The sequence below is a fragment of the Homo sapiens genome, chromosome 16 (genome assembly GCF_000001405.40).
Source record: "Homo sapiens chromosome 16, GRCh38.p14 Primary Assembly".
Lineage (NCBI taxonomy): Eukaryota > Metazoa > Chordata > Mammalia > Primates > Hominidae > Homo > Homo sapiens.
The window spans coordinates 28228594-28247871 of NC_000016.10; the positions used below are offsets into that span (position 1 = coordinate 28228594).

Genomic DNA, 19278 nt, shown 5'->3' on the forward strand with positions numbered 1-19278 from the left:
CTCTAGCCAAGGGGCAGGGCGTATAATCAAAACCAGGCCAGATAAATCCTCCCTTCTGGAAATTTTTTTTTCTTTTGAGGTGGAGTCTCTCTCTGTCACCCAGGCTGGAATGCAGTGGCACAATCTCGGCTCACTGCAACCTCCACCTCCAGGGTTCAAGTGCGTCTCTTCCCTCAGCCTCCAGAGTAGCTGGGATTACAGGCACGTGCCACCACACCCGGCTAATTTTTGTATTTTTAGTAGAGATAGGATTTCACCATGTTGGTCAGGCTGGTCTCGAACTCCTGACCTCGTGATCTGCCTGCCTTGGTTTCCCAAAGTGCTGAGATTACAAGCATAAGCCACCACGCCTGGCCTGGAAATTTTAATATTGAGACAAAGAGATTGAAATGGCTAGATGACTGTTCCAAAACGAGTGCACGCTCTCCATGACCAGTCCTCCCTTCTAACCTCCAGAGCTGCTCATTTCCAACCTTGCTGTCAACTTTATGAGCATTCTATTTCCTTCCGAGAAATCCATTTTTGCTCGAGTTGGCCAGAGTTGATGTCAGGGTAGGCTGTGCTGCTGTAACAGATAATCTAAAATCCCAGGAGTTTGGCTAGGCACAGTGGTTCACACTTGTAATCTCAGCACTTTGGGAGGCTGAGGCAGGAGGGTCACTGGAGCTCAGGAGTTTGAGGCCAGCCTGGGCAACATAGCAAGACCTCATCTCTACCAAAAATTTAAAAATCAGCTGCATGTGGTGGCACAAACCTGTAATCCCAGGTACTCAGGAGGCTGAGGTGGGAGGATCACTTGAGCCCTGGAGGTGGAGGTTTCAATGAGCCATGATCGCACAACTACACTCCAGCTAGGTGACAGAGCAAGACCCTGTCTCGGAAGCAATCAATCAATCAATCAATCAAATTAAAAAATAAAATCCCAGTAGTTTAACAAAGGAAAAGCCTATTTCTGGTTCATGTCACAGTCACAGTGAGTTGGCAGTGGGGCTCTGCTCCACAGTTGTTCAGGGACCCAGGCCCTTTCCATCTTGGGGCTCAACATTCCTGTAGGTCTTTGGACCTACATCAGATCTTCTCCTGGAAGTGTTTTAGGAGAAAGGCCTAGAAGCAACATATATCACTTCTGCCCACATTCCATTGACCAAAACTTACTCATATGGCCCCATCCAGCTGCAGGAGGGGCTAAGAAATGTAGTCTAGCCATGTGCCAGAAGAAAAAAAGAAACCAGGCTTGTCGCTATTGCTTGCAAGCAACCAAAGTGTGTCTTTTTGGTTTTTTTTTTTTTTTGAGACAGAGTCTCACTCTGTTACCCAGGCTGGAGTGCAGTGGCGCAGTCTCAGCTCACTGCAACCTCTGCCTCCCAAGTTCAAACGATTCTCCTGCCTCAGCCTCCCAAGTAGCTGGGACTACAGGTGCCTGCCACCACGTCTGGCTAATTTTTGTATTTTTAGTGGAGACGGGGTTACACCATGTTGGCCAGGATGGTTTCGATCTCCTGACCTCATGATCCGCCCGCCTCGGCCTCCCAAAGTGCTGGAATTACAGGCATGAGCCACCGTGCCCAGCCTGTATCTTTAAAAAAGTGTATCTTTTAAAAAGTGTATCTTTAAAAAAGTGTATCTTTAACAAAGTGTATCTTTAAAAATTTTTTTTTAATAAAAAAAATAGAGACAGGGTCTAGCTGTGTTGCCCAGGCTGGTCTTAAACTTCTAGCCTCAAACAATCCTTTGACCTCAGCCCCCTAAAGTGCTGGGGTTACAGGCATGAACCACCATGCCCGGCCAACTGAAGTGTTTTTGTTGTTTTATTGTTGTTGTTTTCTTTTTTTTGAGATGGAGTCTCACTCTGTCGCCCAGGCTGGAAATGCAGTGGTACGATGTCGGCTCACTGCAACCTCCACCTCCCGGGTTCAAGCAATTCTCTTGCCTCAGCATCCCGAGTAGCTGGGATTACAGGCACCCGCCACCATGCCCGGCTAATTTTTGTATTTTTAGTAGAGACAGGGTTTCACCATATTGACCAGGCTGGTCTTGAACTTCTAACCTTGTGATCTGCCTGCCTCAGCCTACCAAAGTGCTGGGATTACAGGTGTGAGCCACCACGCCCAGCCAGTGTATCTTAACTTATATACTCACCATCTTATTTTCAGTCTGTAGCCCCATGCCTGACATAGAATGTGTACTCAATAAATATTTACTGATTGAACAAACAATTCAATGACATATCGCTATGGTCTGAATGTTTGCATCTCCCCCAAATTCATCTTTTGAAATCCTAATCCCCAATGCAATGATATTAGGAGGTGCAGGCTTTGGGAGGTGACCAGGTCATGGAAGTGGAGTCCTCATGATTGGAATTAGTCCCCTTATAAAAGAGGTCCCAGAGAGCTGCCTTGCCTTTTTCTCCATGTGGGGACACAGCTGGAAGGTGCCATGTAAGAACCAGAAAGCAGGCCCTCACCAGCCTGAACCTTCCAGCACCTTGATCTTGGACTTGCCAGTCTCCAGAGCTGTGAGCAATAAATTTCTGTTGTTTGTAAGCCACCCAGTTTACGATTTTTTTTTTTTTTTTTGAGATGGAGTCTCGCTTCATCACCCAGGCTGGAGTGCAGTGGCGCAATCTCGGCTCACTGCAACCTCTGCCTCCCAGGCTCAAGCGATTCTTGTGCTTCAGCCTCCTGAGTAGCTGGGATTACAGGCCCCCATCACCAAGCTGGCTAATTTTTTGTATTTTTAGTAGAGACGGGGTTTTGTCATATTGGCCAGGCTGGTCTTGAACTCCTGACCTCAGGTGATCCGCATGCCTCAGCCTCCCAAAGTGCTGGGATTACAGGAGTGAGCCACCTCGCCCAGCCAGTTTATGATCTTTTATTGTTGAAACCTGAATGGAATAAGGCACACGTTATGTTGTTTAGTCTTCACAGCAATTCTCACAGGGCCCAGAATACTTCAGTAACTTGCCGAAGGTCATCCAGCTCGTTAAGTGGCAGAGCCGGGATGCAAGGCCAGCATTCCTTCCACCATCCCATGCTGCCACCCGAAAGTCCATCAATGTGCTAAGCCCTGTGCTAAAAGCTATGTGGAAAAATTAAATCAATAAGAGCTAGCCACTGTCCAGGAGGAGTTAACTTCAAAAGAGAAAAGTTGAAGAACAGCCCAAGTTTGCCAAGATTTAAAGACCATCTCAGGACAATAACAGATGAGATGGCACATACTTCACTGCCAAATGCACTGTGCTGGCAAATGTGGAGAAGAGAGAGATGCACTTTGGGCTGAACCCAATGGTCTGGGAAAGCCTCAGAGACAAGGCAGAGTACAAATATCAGGAAAAGCTATGGGCACATAAATTCTCCCAGGGAGACTTTGGATTCAGACTCTGGTCAATCAGTGCATGGCAATGGATCTGACCACAGGCAATTTGGGCTTTAGATCTCAGTCTAGCTCCCTGCATACCACAATGTTTTCATCATGGGCTGAAATTTTCGAGACTTTTTTTTTTTAGAGAGAAAAGTAATTCCAGTTGGCTGTAACAAAAGAGGGATCCACACTTGAGGCCAGGAGTTCGAGACCAGCCTGGCGAACATGGGGAAACCACATCTCTACTAAAAATAAAAAATAAAAAAATTAGCCTGGCATCGTGGCACATGCCTGTAATCCCAGCTGCTTGGGAGGCTGAGGCACGAGAATTGCTTGAACCTGGGAGGCAGATGTTGCAGTGAGCCAAAATCATGCCACCACACTCCAGGCTGGGCAACAGAGTGAGATTCTGCCACACACACACACACACACACACACACACACACACACACACACACGGATCTATTCTAATTCGCATATATTAAAAGTCTAGGTGTAGGTGGCCTTCAGGCATAGCCTGATCCAGGGGTTCTACCATGTCCTAGGGACTTGGTCTCTCTGTCTCCTAGCTTTCTTTTTTTGTTGTTTGTTTTTTGTTTTTTGATTTTTGAGATGGAGTTTTGCTCTTGTTGCCCAGGCTGGAGTGCAAAGGCGAAGTCTCGGCCCACTGCAACCTCTGCCTCCTGAGTTCAAGCAATTCTCCTGCCTCAGCCTCCCAAGTAGCTGGGATTACAGGCGCCTGCCACCATGCCCAGCTAATTTTTGTATTTTTAGTTGAGACAGGGTTTTACCATGTTGGCCAGGCTGGTCTCAAACTCCTTACCTTGGGTGATCCCCCTGCCTCAGCCTCCTAAACTGCTGGGACTACAGGCATAAGCCACCATGCCCACCCTCCTAGCTTTCACTTTACTCTAGGGCATACTTTCCCCTAGTGATGGATCCTAGCTATTCTAGACTATTATTCTCTCAGGATTCAGTCTAAAGGAAAGAAAGTTTCTCCTCCTGAATTGTTCTGAAAAGAGTCCTAGGGCTTACTCTGGTTGATTTGGCTTGGGTCATGACGTTTTAGCTGGCTGGAATCAGATTTGAAGTCCACGGGACACATGTTCCATGCACCAACCATATCTGTATTCTGTCACCCCTCCATTTCCAGGCCCTGGTGAGTTCAGCTGAGGAAGAGTGTACAAGTGAGGGACTAGCAAAGGGACTTCTCAAAGAAGAGGAGCTGGCCGGGCGTGGTGGCTCACGCCTATAATCCCTGCACTTTGGGAGGCCAAGGTGGATGGATCACCTGAGATCAGGAGTTCGAGACCAGCCTGGCCAACATGGCTAAACCCCATCTCTACTAAAAATACAAAAATTAGCCAGGCATGGTGGCAGATGCCTGTAATCCCAGCTACAGGGTGGGCAGGAGAAACACTTGAACCCGGGAGGCAGAGGTTGCAGTGAGCCAAGATGGCGCCACTTCACTCCAGCCTGAGCAACAGAGTAAGACCCCGTCTCAAAAAAAAAGAAGAGGGGCCCTGAGCCTGGCACCACCCGTTGGAGCAGTCAGGAACCTTCCCAGTACATCACGACTGTCTTAGTCCATTCAGGCTGCTATAACAACATATACTGGGTAATTTACCAACAACAGATATATATTGCTCACAGTTTTGGAGGCTGTGAAGACAAGATCAAGGTACTGACCGATTTGGTGAGGGCCTGTTCCTTATAGATGCCACCTTGTTAACCTTGTTACTGTGTCCTCACGCTGAAGAAGTGTCAGACAGACTCTCTCAAACCTGTTTTTTTTTTTTTGTTTTTTTTTTTTTGAGACAATCTCACTCTGTCGCCCAGGTTGGAGTGCAGTGGTGCAATCTCAACTCACTGCAACCTCCGCCTCCCGGGTTCAAGCAATTCTCCTGCCTCAGCCTCCCACGTAGTTGGGACCACAGGTGTGTGCCACCATGCCCCGCTAATTTTTTTGTATTTTTAGTAGAGATGGGGTTTCACTGTGTTAGCCAGAATGGTCTCGATCTCCTGACCTTGTAGTCTGCCTGCCTCAGCCTCCCAAAGTGCTGGGATAACAGGCTTGAGCCACAGCGCCCAGCCACCTTTTTTTTTTTTTTTTTTTTGAGATGGAGCTTTGCTCTTATTGCCCAGGCTGGAGTGCGATGGCATGATCTCGGCTCACCACAACCTCCGCCTCCCGGGTTCAAGTGATTCTCCTGCCTCAGCCTCCTGAGTAGCTGGGATTACAGGCATGTGCCACCGCACCTAGCTAATTTTGTATTTTTAGTAGAGATGGGGTTTCTCTATGTTGGTCAGGCTGGTCTCGAACTCCTGACCTCAAATGATCAACCCGCCTCAGCCTCCCAAAGTGCTGGGATTACAGGCCTGAGCCACCGTGCTGGCTTTTTTTTTTTTTTTTTTTTTTTGACAAGGTCTTACTCTGTCACCCAGGCTGGAGTGCAGTGGCTCAATCTGGGCTCACTGCAGCCTCTACCTCCTAGGCTCAAATGATTCTCCTGCCTCGGCCTCCTGAGTAGCTGGGATTACAGGTGCGTGCCATTACTGCCCTGCTAATTTCTTGTATTTTTAGTAGAGATGGGGTTTCACCATGTTGGCCAGGCTGGTCTTGAACTCTTGACCTCAAATGATCCACCCGCATCAGCCTCCCAAAGTGCTGAGATTACAGGTGTGAGCCACTGCACCCGGCCACACTGCAGTCTTGACCTTCCAGGCTCAGGTGATCCTCCCACCTCAGCCTCCTGAGTCACTGGGACTACAGGCATGCACCACCACATCCCACTAATTTTTGTATTTTTTGTAGGGTTTTGCTATGTTGCCCAGGCTGACCTTGAACTCCTGGGCTCAAGCAGTCCACTACCTCAGCCTCCCAAAGTGCTGTGATTACAGGTGTGAGCCACCACACCGGCCCAAACCTCTTTTATAAGGACATAAATTCCATTCACTAGGTCAGAACCCTCACGACCTAATGACCTCCCAAAGGCTCCAGCCTCTCAATGCCATCATGGTAGGGGTTAGGTTTTAACATGTGAATTTTGGAGGGACACAAACATTCAGACCGTAGCAATGACATATCCTGTAGAAGACTTCCAGTAGACGGGTCTGGACTTCCTCCAAACACTCAGTTTATGAGCTCTGCTGCTGAGAAAGGGGGACCAAGGTAAGGTGGTGCGTCCTAAGGTTGACAATAATGGAGGACTATCTCCATTCTACAGCCTGTCTATCTCCATCAAGAGTTTCCACTCAGTATGCCCTGAACATTACCTTACATACCTGACTCACTCTGAAAATTAGAGTCTGGCATGGGAACCCTCAGGACAGAATTGGTGGCAGGACCTGGGCTGAGCATGATAGAAGGATGGTTAGAAATGGTCTTGCATCCGTGTGGTTCAGAGTTCAAGATGGGAGGCTGAGGCAGAAGAATAGCTTGAACCCAGAAGGCAGAGGTTGCAGTGAGCCAAGATCGTGCCATTGCACTCCAGCCTGGGTAACAGAGTGAGACTCCATCTAAAAAAAAAAAAAAATTCAAGATGCCTGTCACTCTGTTACTATCTGGGCATAGTCTGTGACAATAAAGAGAAAAGCATTTGTGTTAATTTAATAACATATATACATTAGGAATGCTTTCAGCAGCAAGTAACAAAAGTCTAAAAGTCTAGATGTAGGTGGCTTTCAGGCATAGCCTGATCCAGGGGCTCCTACCATGTCCTGGGGATTATGTTTACTTAAAAACGGGGTTTATTTTTCTTTCTTAATAGTAAATAAATGATACTATATAGATACAGCTGCTTATGATGCCATGGCATCTGTATGATTTTCTTAGCCTTTTCCTCATGGTTGCAAGATGACTGCTGCAGCTCCAGGCATTGTGTTCACGTTCACCTTTTTTTTTTTTGTTTTTTTTTTTGAGATGGAGTTTCACTCTTATTGCCCAAGCTGGAGTGCAATGGCATGATCTCAGCTCACTGTAACCTCCACCTCCCAGGTTCAAGCAATTCTCCTGCCTCAGCCTCCCAAGTAGCTGGGATTACAGATATGCACCACCACCTCCAGCTAATTTTTTGTATTTTTAGTAGAAACAGAGTTTCACCATGTTAGCCAGGCTGATCTCGAACTCCTGACCTCAGGTGATTCACCCACCTCGGCCTCCCAAAGTGCTGGGATTAAAGGTGTGAGCCATTGCACCCAGCCATGTTCACATTATAAGTAGGAAGCAGAGGGAAAGAAATGATGTCAGCCACACCTGGACCCTCTTTTTTCAAAGCTTTCCTGTAAACCTTGAACAGCCTTCTGTCCCTATCTTATTGACCAGGACTGGGAAATACCACCTCCCTAAGCTTCAAGAGAGGCTGAGAAAATGTAGCTTTTCTAGACTGTAAATAGTGGCAGTAGCAAGAGAGAGGGAAGTGAGGAATGCCAAAAAGTGCCAACCACAGGACACTTTATTGTAAATATGGCAGGAGAATATTTTTTGAGACACAGATTGATGTTTTATTTAATTTCTTGATTTTAAAAAACCTTTACTATTATTATTATTATTATTATCTGTAGAGACGGAGTCTTACTATGTTCCCCAGACTGGTCTCAAACTTCTGGGCTCAAGCAATCCTCCCGTCTCAGCCTCCCAAAGTGCTGAGATTACAGGTGTGAGCCACCATGTCTAGCCTGATATTTTATTTTCTTCTTTCTTCCCTAATGTTAATCCAAAACCTGTCTTTGTCTCATATTCAGTAGAGAAATGGGAGAGGGTGGAAAGCAGGTAAAATCCATGAGTTTCGGGCTTTTATATCCCAATAGCTTAAGTCCTTATTGGAGAAAGATAAAGGCCAAAAATAGGACTTGTCACTTTCAGATGCCCCTGGGGTAGGGAGAAAAGAGAAAGGCAGAGGGGAAGTAATGGAAAAAAAGAGAGAGTTTGGGAAATCTCAGAGGGAAAAGCTCTGAACTCCACTTCTTTGGGGAAAAGCGATGAGACTCCAGAGAGATGCTTGAGAAAGCCCAGAGCAGATGGGACCAGGCATGGTGGCTCACGTCAGTAATCCCAACACTTTGGGAGGCCAAGACAGGGGATCACTTGAGTGCAGGAGTTGGAGACCAGCCTGGGCAACATGGCGAAACCCCATCTCTGCAAAAAAATACAAAGGTAAGCTAGACATGGTGGTGCACACCTGTAGTCCCAGCTACTCAGGAGGCTGAGATAAGAGGATTGCTGGAGTCCAGGAGGTTGAGGCTGCAGTGAACCATGATACACCACTGCACTCCAGCTTGAGGGATAGAGCAAGATCCTGTCTCAAAAAGAAAAAAAAAGAGCAGAGGGGAGAATGCTTCACACAATGCCCTAGTTCTCAGTGGGCATGAGAGTAGTGGAACATTCTCTGAGCCTTGAGCATGGTCCTGAGAGGCAGAAGGAGCTGCACAGACAGAAACAAGCAGCCTGTGTAAGCTGAAAGCCAGGGGGTCAATGGCTGAGGGGTGATGTCTCAGGCACACCTGCATGGACAGAGGACTTCAGTACAGACACTGCCCACCATAGTTTGGCACTTCAAAAGTTACCAAGAAATATACACATTCACATAGGTGAAAATGCCATCTTAGCTTGCAATAGAAATTATGCTGAGTGGCCAAGCATGGTGGCTCATGCCTATAATCCCAGCACTTTGGGAGGCCAAGGCAGGTGCATCGCCTGAGTCAGGAGTTTGAGACCAGCCTGGCCAACATGGTGAAACCTCATCTCTACTAAAAATATAAAAATTAGCCAGGCATGGTGGTGTGCACCTGTAATCGCAGCTACTCAGGAGGCTGAGGTGGGAGAATCGCTTGAACCAGGGAGGCAGAGGCTGCAGTGAGCTGAGATTATATCACTGCACTCCAGCCTGGGCAACAGAGTGAGACTCTGTCTCAAAAAAAAAAAAAGAAAAAAAAAAGAAAAAGGAATGGAAAGGAAAGGAAGAGAAAGTATGCTGATTTATGGAAAAAGTAAGAAAGTTCTTCATGCCTTCTTCAGTATGTGGTCTGAGATCATAGTTTGTGGCAGAGACCACTGGGTACCTCTCCCAGCATCCATTCTCCCCCTTCTCCTTAGGAATAAACTTTTACTTCTAGCTGGGTACATTTCCCAGCCTCCCTTGCAGCTAGGTGTCATCATGTGACTAAGCGGTGGCCAATAAGATGTAAGCAAAATGGCTCTATGGGACTTGTAGGAAGTTGCCTTAAAAGGAAGGAACACAAGCTTTCTCCCCACTTCCTTGTTGCTTGGAGTAAGGCAGTTCCAGCAGCCATGTTGGCCCAAGAAGTGACCTTGCAAATAGAAGGTGGATGAGAAAGTGGAGCGTGAGACTCTGTGTTGTGGCCATAGCATCTTGGACCACTTGCCTTCAGATGTATTTGACATGAATGGGAAATGCACTGCATTAGTATGTGAGGGCTGCCATGGCAAAAAACAGCCAGCTCTCCACATCCTCAGGTTCTGCAACCACAGATTCAACCAACCACAGGTCAAAAATATCTGGAAAAAAAAAAAACTGTAATAGGCTGGGTGCAGTGGCTCATGCCTGTAATCCCAGCACTTTGGGAGGCCGAGGCTGGAGATGGCCTGAGGTCAGGAGTTTGAAGCCAGCCTGGCCAATATGGTGAAACCCCATCTCTACTAAAAATACAAAAATTAGTTGGGTATGGTGGCGTGTGCCTGTAATCCCAGCTGCTCGGGAAGCTGGGGCACGAGAATCACTTGAACCCAGATGGCAGAGGTTGCAGTGAGCCAAGATTGTCCTGCAGCACTCCAGCCTGGGCGACAGAGTGAGACTCCATCTCAAAAAAAGAAACAAAAGAGCAATACTAGGCTGAGTTCAGTAGCTCACACCTATAATCCCAGCACTTTGGGAGGCCAAGGCAGGCAAATCACTTGAGGCCAGGAGTTTGAGACCAGCTTGAGCAACGAAATGAGACCACCATCTCTTCAGAAAAATTTATAAAAATTGGCTGGGCATGGTAGCACATACCTGTACTCCCAGCTACTCTGGAGGCAGAGGTGGGACGATCAACTGAGCCCAGGAGTTCAAGTCTGCAGTGAGCTCTGGTTGCCCCACTGCACTCCAGCTTGGGCAACAGAGAGAGACCCTGTCTCTAAAAAAAGTGAAATACAATACAATAAAATACAATAAAAAATACAGTATAACCACTATTTACATAGCATTTGCATTGTATTAAGTATTCTAAGTAACCTAGAGATGTTTTAAAGTATACTGCATAGATTATTTTCAAATAATACAACATTTTATATGAAGACTTGAACATCTGCCAATTTTGATATGTGGGAAGTCCTGGAACCAATCCCCAGGGACACCAAGGGACAACTGTGCCTCAGACTAGGAGGTTTAAACAAGAAAAATTTATTTTCTCACAATTGTGGAGACTTGGAGATTGTCCAAGATCAAGGTGTCGGCCGGGTTGGTTTCTTCTGAGGCCTCTCTCCTTGGCTTGTAGATGATCATCTTTTTAAAACTGATTGATTGATTGATTGGCTGAGTGCTGGGGACTTTATTAATGGTACACAACAAGGCGGGGCTCCCTAGGCCCCTCCCTCTTCAGGGGGTCTGCATGGAAACTGTGAGGAAGGGAGATTCTCAGTGTGGTGGGTGGGGGACTGAGTGTGGCAGGGATTCCCCAGCAGTGAGGGCCTCTCTCTTCTTCTCATGCTCTTGCTGGGGCTGGTGGTCCGGGGGTCTTACTCCTTGGAGGCCATGTGGGCCATGAGGTCCGCCACCCTGTTGCTGTAGCCAAATTCATTCTCATACCAGGAAACGAGCTTGACAAAGTGGTCGTTGAGGGCAATGCCAGCCCCAGCGTCGAAGGTGGAAGAATGAGTGTCACGGTTGAAGTCGGAGGAGACAACCTGGTGTTCAGTGTAGCCCCAGATGCCCTTGAGGGGGCGTCAGATGCCCACTTCACCACCTTCTTGATGTCGTCATATTCGACAGGTTTTTCCAGGCGGCAGGTCAGGTCCACGACCGACACGTTGGCAGCGGGGACACTGAAGGCCATGCAAGTGAGCTTCCCATTCAGCTCAGGGATGACCTTACCCGCAGCCTTGGCAGCACCAGTAGAGGCAGGGATGATGTTCTGGAGAGCCCCGTGGCTGTCACATCACAGTTTCCTGGAGGGGCCATCCACAGTCTTCTGGGTGGCAGTGATGGCATGGACTGTGGTCGTGAGTCCTTCTACAATACCAGAGTTGTCATGGATGACCTTGGACGGGGTGCTAAGCAGTTGGTGGTGCAGGAGGCATTGCTGACGATCTTGAGGCCGTTGTCATACTTCTCATGGCTCACGCCCATCACGAACATGGGGCGTCAGCAGAGGGGGCAGAGATGATGACCCTTTTGGCTCCCCGCTGCAAGTGCGTCCCAGCCTTCTCCATGGTGGTGAAGATGCTGGTGGACTCTACGACGTATTCAGCACCAGCATCTCCTCATTTGATTTTGGAGGGATCTTGCTTCTGGAAGATGATGATGGGATTTCCCCGTTCTCAGCCTTGACAGTGCCATGGAATTTGCTACGGATGCAATCATACCGGAACATGTAGACCATGTAGTCGAGGTCAATGAAGGGTCATTGATGGCGACAATATCCACTTTACCAGAGTTAAAAGCAGCCCTGGAGACCAGGCGCCCAATACGACCAAATCCATTTGTTCCGACCTTCACCATGCTCTCAGGGATGTGAGAAAAGATGCGGCTGTCTGTCGAATGGGAGGAGCAGAGAGCCAATTTTGTTTAAGAAACAGGCTCCGCCAGGCGTGATGGCTCACACCTATAATCCCAGCACTTTGGGAGACCGAGGCGGGCGGATCACCTGAGGTCAGGAGTTCAAGGCCAGCCTGGACAACATGGTGAAACCCTGTCTCTACTAAAAATACAAAAAATTAGCCGAGCATGGTGGCTCACGCCTGTAGTCCCAGCTAGCCGGGAGGCTGATGCAGAAGAATCGCTTGAACCCGGGAGGTGGAGGTTGCAGTGAGCTGAGATCGCACCACTGCACTCCAGCCTGGGCAACAGAGTGAGAAAAAAAAAAAAAGACAGATGGGCTCTCACTGTGTTGCTCAGGCTGGCCTCAAACTCCTGGCCTCAAGCAATCCTCCTGCCTTGGTCTCCCAAAGTGTTGGGATTATAGGTTTAAGCCACCAGAGTGGGCCTTAAATGGTCATCTTCTTCCTGTATCTTCACATGGTCTTCCCTCTGTATGTCTGTGTCCTAATCTCCTCTTCTTTTTTTTCTTTTTTTTGAGACTGAGCCTTGCTCTGTCACCCAGGCTGGAGTGCAGTGGCACGATCTCAGCTCACTGCAACCTCCACCTCCTGGATTCAAGCAATTCTCCTGCCTCAGCCTCCCAAGTAGCTGGGATTACAGGCACTCACCACCATGCCCAGCTAATTTTTTTCTTGAGACAGTGTCTCGCTCTGTCATCCAGGCTGGAGTGCAGGTGTGTGATCTCAGCTCACTGAAACTACCACCTCCCCGGTTCAAGCAATTGTCCTGTCTCAGCCTCCTGAGTAGCTGGGACTACAGGCACAGGCCACCATGCCCAGCTAATTTTTGTATTTTTAGTAGAGACAGGGTTTCACCATATTGATCAGGCTGGTCTTGAACTCCTGACCTCAGGTAATCCACCCACCTCAGCCTCCCAAAGTGCTGGGATTATAGGCATGAGCCACTGTACCCAGCCCTAATCTCCTCTTCTTATAGGGACACCAGTCACATTGGATTCGGACCCCCCCCCCCCCACCCACCGCAATGACTTCATTTTCACTTAATTACCTCTTTAAAGTTGCTATCTCCAGATACGGTCACATTCTGAGGCACTGGGAGTCAGGACTTCAACATATGCATTTGGAGGGGGACACATTCCAGCCCATAATACACACTTGTTAGCAGGAGTCAGGCCTATCCTGCAGTGTAGCTCTGGAAATAGCCCCCTGCCCTTTCTCGCCTGTTTCCTCTTTTGTAAACCAGGGGCTTCCACTGACAGTGCTCATGACTGTTGTTGTGCACTGTGCTTCTTAAAAGCTCCATCTGGGCCTGATGTTTAGCTAAATTTAGGGCCAATCTGTCCCCATCGTGGGCTTGGTGGAGCTTTGAAGAAGGCTGTGGGTGGACTCACAAAGAGATGGCTCCAGGCCCGCAGGTTTCCCTCCTCCGGCTTTGCTAAAGGTCTCCCTTCCTCTCCTATGGTGAGGCTCCAGGAGTGGCTCAGGCCCTCCACTGAACACCGACCATCCTCCAGGCTGCACTCGGAGGACCTGTGCACAAGGCCTGTTCCCAGGGCTGGCCTCTGCCCAGTGGTCCCAAGCCCAGTCTGCCCTGGATCTCAGCAAAGGGATGAGTTACATTTAGCAAAGAACAGTGCTAGGTGCCTTTCATGGTTAGCTCGAGAACCCCCATTTTATGAATGGAGAAACTGAGGCAGGGTCGGGCACGGTGGCTCACACATGTAATTCCAGCAGTTTTGGAGGCCGAGGCAGGCAAATCACTCGAGGTCAGGAGTTTGAGACCAGCCTGGCCAATATGGCGAAACCCCGTCTCTACTAAAAATACAAAAATTAGCTGGGTGTGGTGGTGGACACTTGTAATCCCAGCTACTCAGGAGGCTGAGGCAGGAGAATCGCTTGAACCTGGGAGGCGGAGGTTGCAGTGAACTGAGATCATGTCAATGCACTCCAGCCTGGGAGACAGAGTGAGACTCTATCTCAAAAAAACAAAAACACAACAAAAACAAAAGAAACTGGGGGCCAGACGCGGTGGCTCACGCCTGTAATCCCAGCACTTTGGGAGGCCGAAGTGGGAGGATCATGAGGTCAGGAGATCGAGACCATCCTGGCCAACATGCTGAAATCCCATCTCTACTTAAAAATGCAAAAATTAGCTGGGCGTGGTGGCGCATGCCTTTAATCCTAGCTACTCGGGAGGCTGAGGCAGGAGAATCACCTGAACCAGGGAGTCGAAGGTTGCAGTGAGCTGAGATCCTGCCACTGTACTCCAGCCTGGCGACAGAGCGAGACTCTGTCTCAAAAAAAAAAAAGAAAGAAAGAAAGCAAGAAAAGAGACTGGGGCAAACACCTACACTTACACCTGGCCTTGAATCTCACCCACTTCCACCTTCTCAGGAACTTCTCACTTCTGTATTTCAATCACTTTCAATTGAATCCATCTCATTAATATTTTATTTATTTACTTACTTGTAGAGATGGGGGTCTGCCTATGTTCCTATGTTGCCCAGGCTGGTCTCAAACTCCTGGACTCAAGCGATCTGCCCACTTCCGCCTCCCAAAGTGCTGGGATTATAGGGGTGAGCCACTGCGCCCAGCCAATAATTCTTATATTAGACAGAATAGCCATTCATTTGTGATATGAGTTGCAAATATTTTGTCCTAGTTTGTCATTTTCCTTTTGACTCTATTGAGGTGAAGGAGACATAAGCTCTTGAGTACATTTCTAATGGCTTGTGCAGATTGCTACCACTCCTGTGATTGACAATTTGGCATTATCTAGCAAAATTGCAAATGCATTTATCCTTTGACTCAGCAGTCTCATTTCTGGGGATGTTTTTTCCTGATCAGATAGCTCAGATTTTCTTTTTTCTTTCCTTTATTTATTTTTTCTGAACACTCCTGGGAATTTATGCTATAGAGCTACTTGACATGAATGAAAATTGTGTGTGTGTGTGTGTATGTGTGTCTGTGTGTGTCTGTGTGTGTGTGTGTGGCTTGGTACTGTTGACTTTCTTTTTAGAAGACTGGAAACAGCCTAGGGAATCATCAGAATCATCAATAGGGAAGTGATGAAATAAGCTATGGTAAATCCACAAAACAGAATATTTTGTTGCCATAAAATAATGAAGAAGGCTTCTATGTATTGTAATGAAAAGAGCTCTAGGATATACCGTTAAGTGAAAAAAGCAAGGAGAAGCTGGGCATGGTGACTCTCCCCTGTAATCCCAGCACTTCGGGAGGCCGAAGTAGGCAAATCGCTTGAGCCCAGGAGTTTCAGACCAGCCTGGGTAACATGGTAAAACCTCGTCTCTGCAAAAAATATAAAAATACAAAAAATTAGTCCCAGCTAATCAGGAGGCTTCAGGTGAGAGGATCACTTGAGCCCAGGAAGTTGAGGCTGCAGTGAGCCATGATTGCACCACTGCACTCCAGCCTGGGTGCAGCAAGACCCTGCCTCAGAAAAAGAAAGAACTATGTAATGCCACATTTGGATGCCGACCCAAGACACAATGCCAAAGCAGGGGTTCACAACCAGGGCGATTTTCCCAACAAGAGATGTTAGGCAACATCTGGAAGCAATGTTTACAATTAGGGATGGGGCCAGGTGCAGTGGCTCATGCCCGTAATCCCAACAGTTTGGGAAGCCAAGGGGAGCGGATCACCAAAGGTCAGCAGTTTGAGACCAGCCTGACCAACATGGAGAAAACCTGTCTCTACTAAAAATACAAAAATTAGCTGGGTATGGTGGCATGTGCCCGTAATCCCAACTACTCAGGAGGCTGAGGCAGGAGAATCGCTTGAACCCAGGAGGCAGAGGTTGCAGTGAGCCAAGACTGTACCACTGAACTGCACTGCACTCCAGCCTGGGTGACAAAGTGAGACTCTGTCAAAGAAAAAAAAACAACCTAGGGATGGGGTGCTACTAGCATCTAGTGTATAAAATCCAGGAAGGCTGCTAACACACTGGACAGCCGCCTATGACCCAGAATCATCCAGCCCAAATGTCAACAGTGACAAAGTAAAGAAACAAAGAAACCCTGGATTAGCATTTTCTCTGACATCAAAGTTAAATCCAGTGGACTTTTGTTTTTAAGTCTTTATCTATCTTGGCCTCCGAAGGAGTGTTCAGGATCATTGACTCTTCCTCCTTCATGCAAAGCTGAATCCTGTGACTTCTGCGATGATTCTGGCTTCCCTTCCTCCATCCCCTTTACAGGCTCATCCTCCTACATGGCAATTAGATATCAGGGTTCCTGGAGGCGAGTCCTAGGCCCTCTTTTTGTCTCACCCCACACTGACCCTCATTGATCCCACTCACTTTGACTTTGTTTTTGGTTTGTTTCAATAGAGATGGGGTTTCACCATCTTGCCCAGGCTGGTCTCAAACTCCTGGCCTCAAGCAATCCTCCAGCCTCGGCCTCCCAAAGTACTGGGATTACAAGTGTGAGGCACTGACCCAGCTACACCTTGGACTTTGGTTACCATCTTTTCTTTTTTTTTTGAGACAGAGTCTAGCTCTGTACCCCAGGCTGAAGTACAGTGGTGCAATCTCGGCTCACTGCAACCTCTGCCTCTCGGGGTCAAGCAATTCTCCTGCCTCAGCCTCGCGGGTAGCTGGGACTACAGGCGCGTGCCACCACACCTGGCTAATTTTTTGTATTTTTAGTAGAGACGGGGTTTCACCGTGTTAGCCAGGATGGTCTCAATCTCCTGACCTCATGATCCGCCCGCCTAGGCCTCCCAAAGTGCTGGGATTACATGCGTGAGCCACTGCGCCCAGCCTTGGTTACCATCTCTACACCAATGAGTCCCGCAATTATACACAGCCCAAACCTCACCTTGGAGTCAATTCCATACATCTAACTTCCTGCTCCACAACCTCGCCTAGATGTTTCCAAGGCCCCTGGGGCTCATCAGGAGGACAAGCTTGCCTTCAGGGTCCTCCATACCCAATCCTCTTTTGGTGTCCCTATTTCAGTGACTAGCAAAACCATCAATCTAGATCCACAAGCAAGAAGCCTAGAAGTCCACTGGGCACCATGGCTCACGCCTGTAATCCCAGCACGTTGGGAGGCCGAGGCAGGTGGATTACTTGAGGCCAGGGGTTCGTGACCAGCCTGACCAACATGGTGAAACCCCGTCTCTACTAAAAATACAAAAAAATCAGCCAGGCGTGGTAGCGGGCACCTGTAATCCCAGCTACTCCGGAGGCTGAGGAAGGAGAGTCACTTGAACTCAGGAGGCAGAGGTTGCAGTGAGTCAAGATCACGCCAGTGCACTCCTGCACTCCAGCCTGGGCAACAGGGTGAGACTCCATCTCAAACACACACACACACCCAGACACACACACACACAAAGTTTGATTTTCGTGAGCCACCACTCCCGGCCGTAATAGCCCTTAGATTTTTGAGTGACACAGAACTGAAGGAATTGAATGCAAGCTACTGTTGCTACCTGGGAAAGGAGGGTCACAGGCAAAGGCACAGAAAGTGCAAAGACCCTTCAGTAATGAGAAGATGAGTATCGTTCCCCACATACTTACTGGCTATTTATATTTCTTTATTTCCATTTACCAGTTTACATTCTCTGCTTTTTCCTTTTTTTCTCTTTTCTTTTGTTGTTGTTGTTGTTTGTTTTCTTTTCTTTTCTTTCTTTCTTTTTTTTTTTTTTAAGATACAGTCCTCCTCTGTTGCCCAGGCTGGAGCGCAGTGGCAGGATCTCGGCACACTGCAGCCTCTGGCTCCCAGGTTCAAGCAATTCTCCTGTCTCAGCCTCCCGAGTTGCTGAGACTACAGGCGCATGCCACCACACCTGGCTAGTTTTTTTGGATTTTTAGTAGAGACGGGGTTTCACCGTATTGGTCAGGCTGGTCTCAAACACCTGACCTCAGGTGATCCACCCACCTTGGCCTCCCAAAATGTTGGGATTACAGGCATGATGTTTGTTTTCATTTTTGTTTTTGTTTTTTGAAACAGGCTGGAGTGCAGTGGCGCGATCACAGCTCACTGCAGCCTCAAACTCTTGGGCTCAAGTGATCCTCCCACTTCAGCCTCTGAAGTAGCTGGAACTGTAGGCAACCACCACCAGGCCCAGCTAATTTCTTTTGTATTTTTTGTAGAGATGGAGTCTCACCATGTTGCCAGGATGGTCTCGAACTCCTGGGCTCAAGCAATCCTCCCACCTCAGCCTCTCAAAGTGCTGGGACTAACGACATGAAGATGTGAGCCCAGGCTGCTCTTTTTCCTATTTGATTCACAGTCCTTTTCTTTCTGATTTATGAGAGCTAATTTTGGTTTATGGATATTACCCCTTATCTGTCCTTTGCATTACGCAGTTTTAAAATCATTTGCTATTTGTGTTTATTTTGCATATGGTAGTTTTTGCTGCATAGACAATTTTCCTTTTTTTTTTTTTGAGATGGAGTCTCTGTTGCCCAGGCTGGAGTGCAATGGTGTGATCTCAGCTCACTGCAATGTCTGCTCCCAGGTTCAAACGATTCTCCTCCCTCAGCCTCCCAAGTAGCTGGGATTACAGGTGCCTGCCACCACGCCCGGCTAATTTTTGTATTTTAGTAGAGATGGGGTTTCCCCATGTTGGCCAAGCTGGTCTCGAACTCCTGACCTCAAGTGATCTGCCCGCCTTGGCCTCCCAAAGTGCTGGGATTACAGGCGTGAGCCACAGCGCTCGGCCTTTTCTAGTCAAATTTTTGATTTCTGAACTTGATTTCTCACCTGGAAAAGCCTTTTGCATCGAGACTTTTTTTAATCATTACATTTTATTCTAATTCTTTTATAGCTTTATTTTTAACTTTGAAATCTCTGATCCATCTGTTGTTTCCTAGGGTTTAAAGAGTAAGGTGTCTAGTAACTGTGAATATAGATTTATATTTCTCCAAAGACCATCAAGTAGCCCATCTTTTCCTCACTAATTTGCTTTGTTTTTGTCTTGTTTTAGAGACAGGGTCTTGCTCTGTCATCCAGGCTGGAGTGCACTGATACTGGAAGCTCACTGCAGCCTCAAACTCCTGGGCTCAGGCGATCCTCCGGCCTCAGCCTCCGGAATAGCTGGGACTACAAGTATGTGCCACCACGCCCAGCTAATTTTTTAATTTTTTTAGAGACCAGATTTTACCATGTTACCCA

The 19278-nt window shown here is 47.8% G+C and overlaps 1 pseudogene; it reads right to left on the bottom strand.

Moving 5' to 3' along the window:
• On the bottom strand, positions 10890-12134 carry GAPDHP35 (glyceraldehyde 3 phosphate dehydrogenase pseudogene 35; annotated as a pseudogene).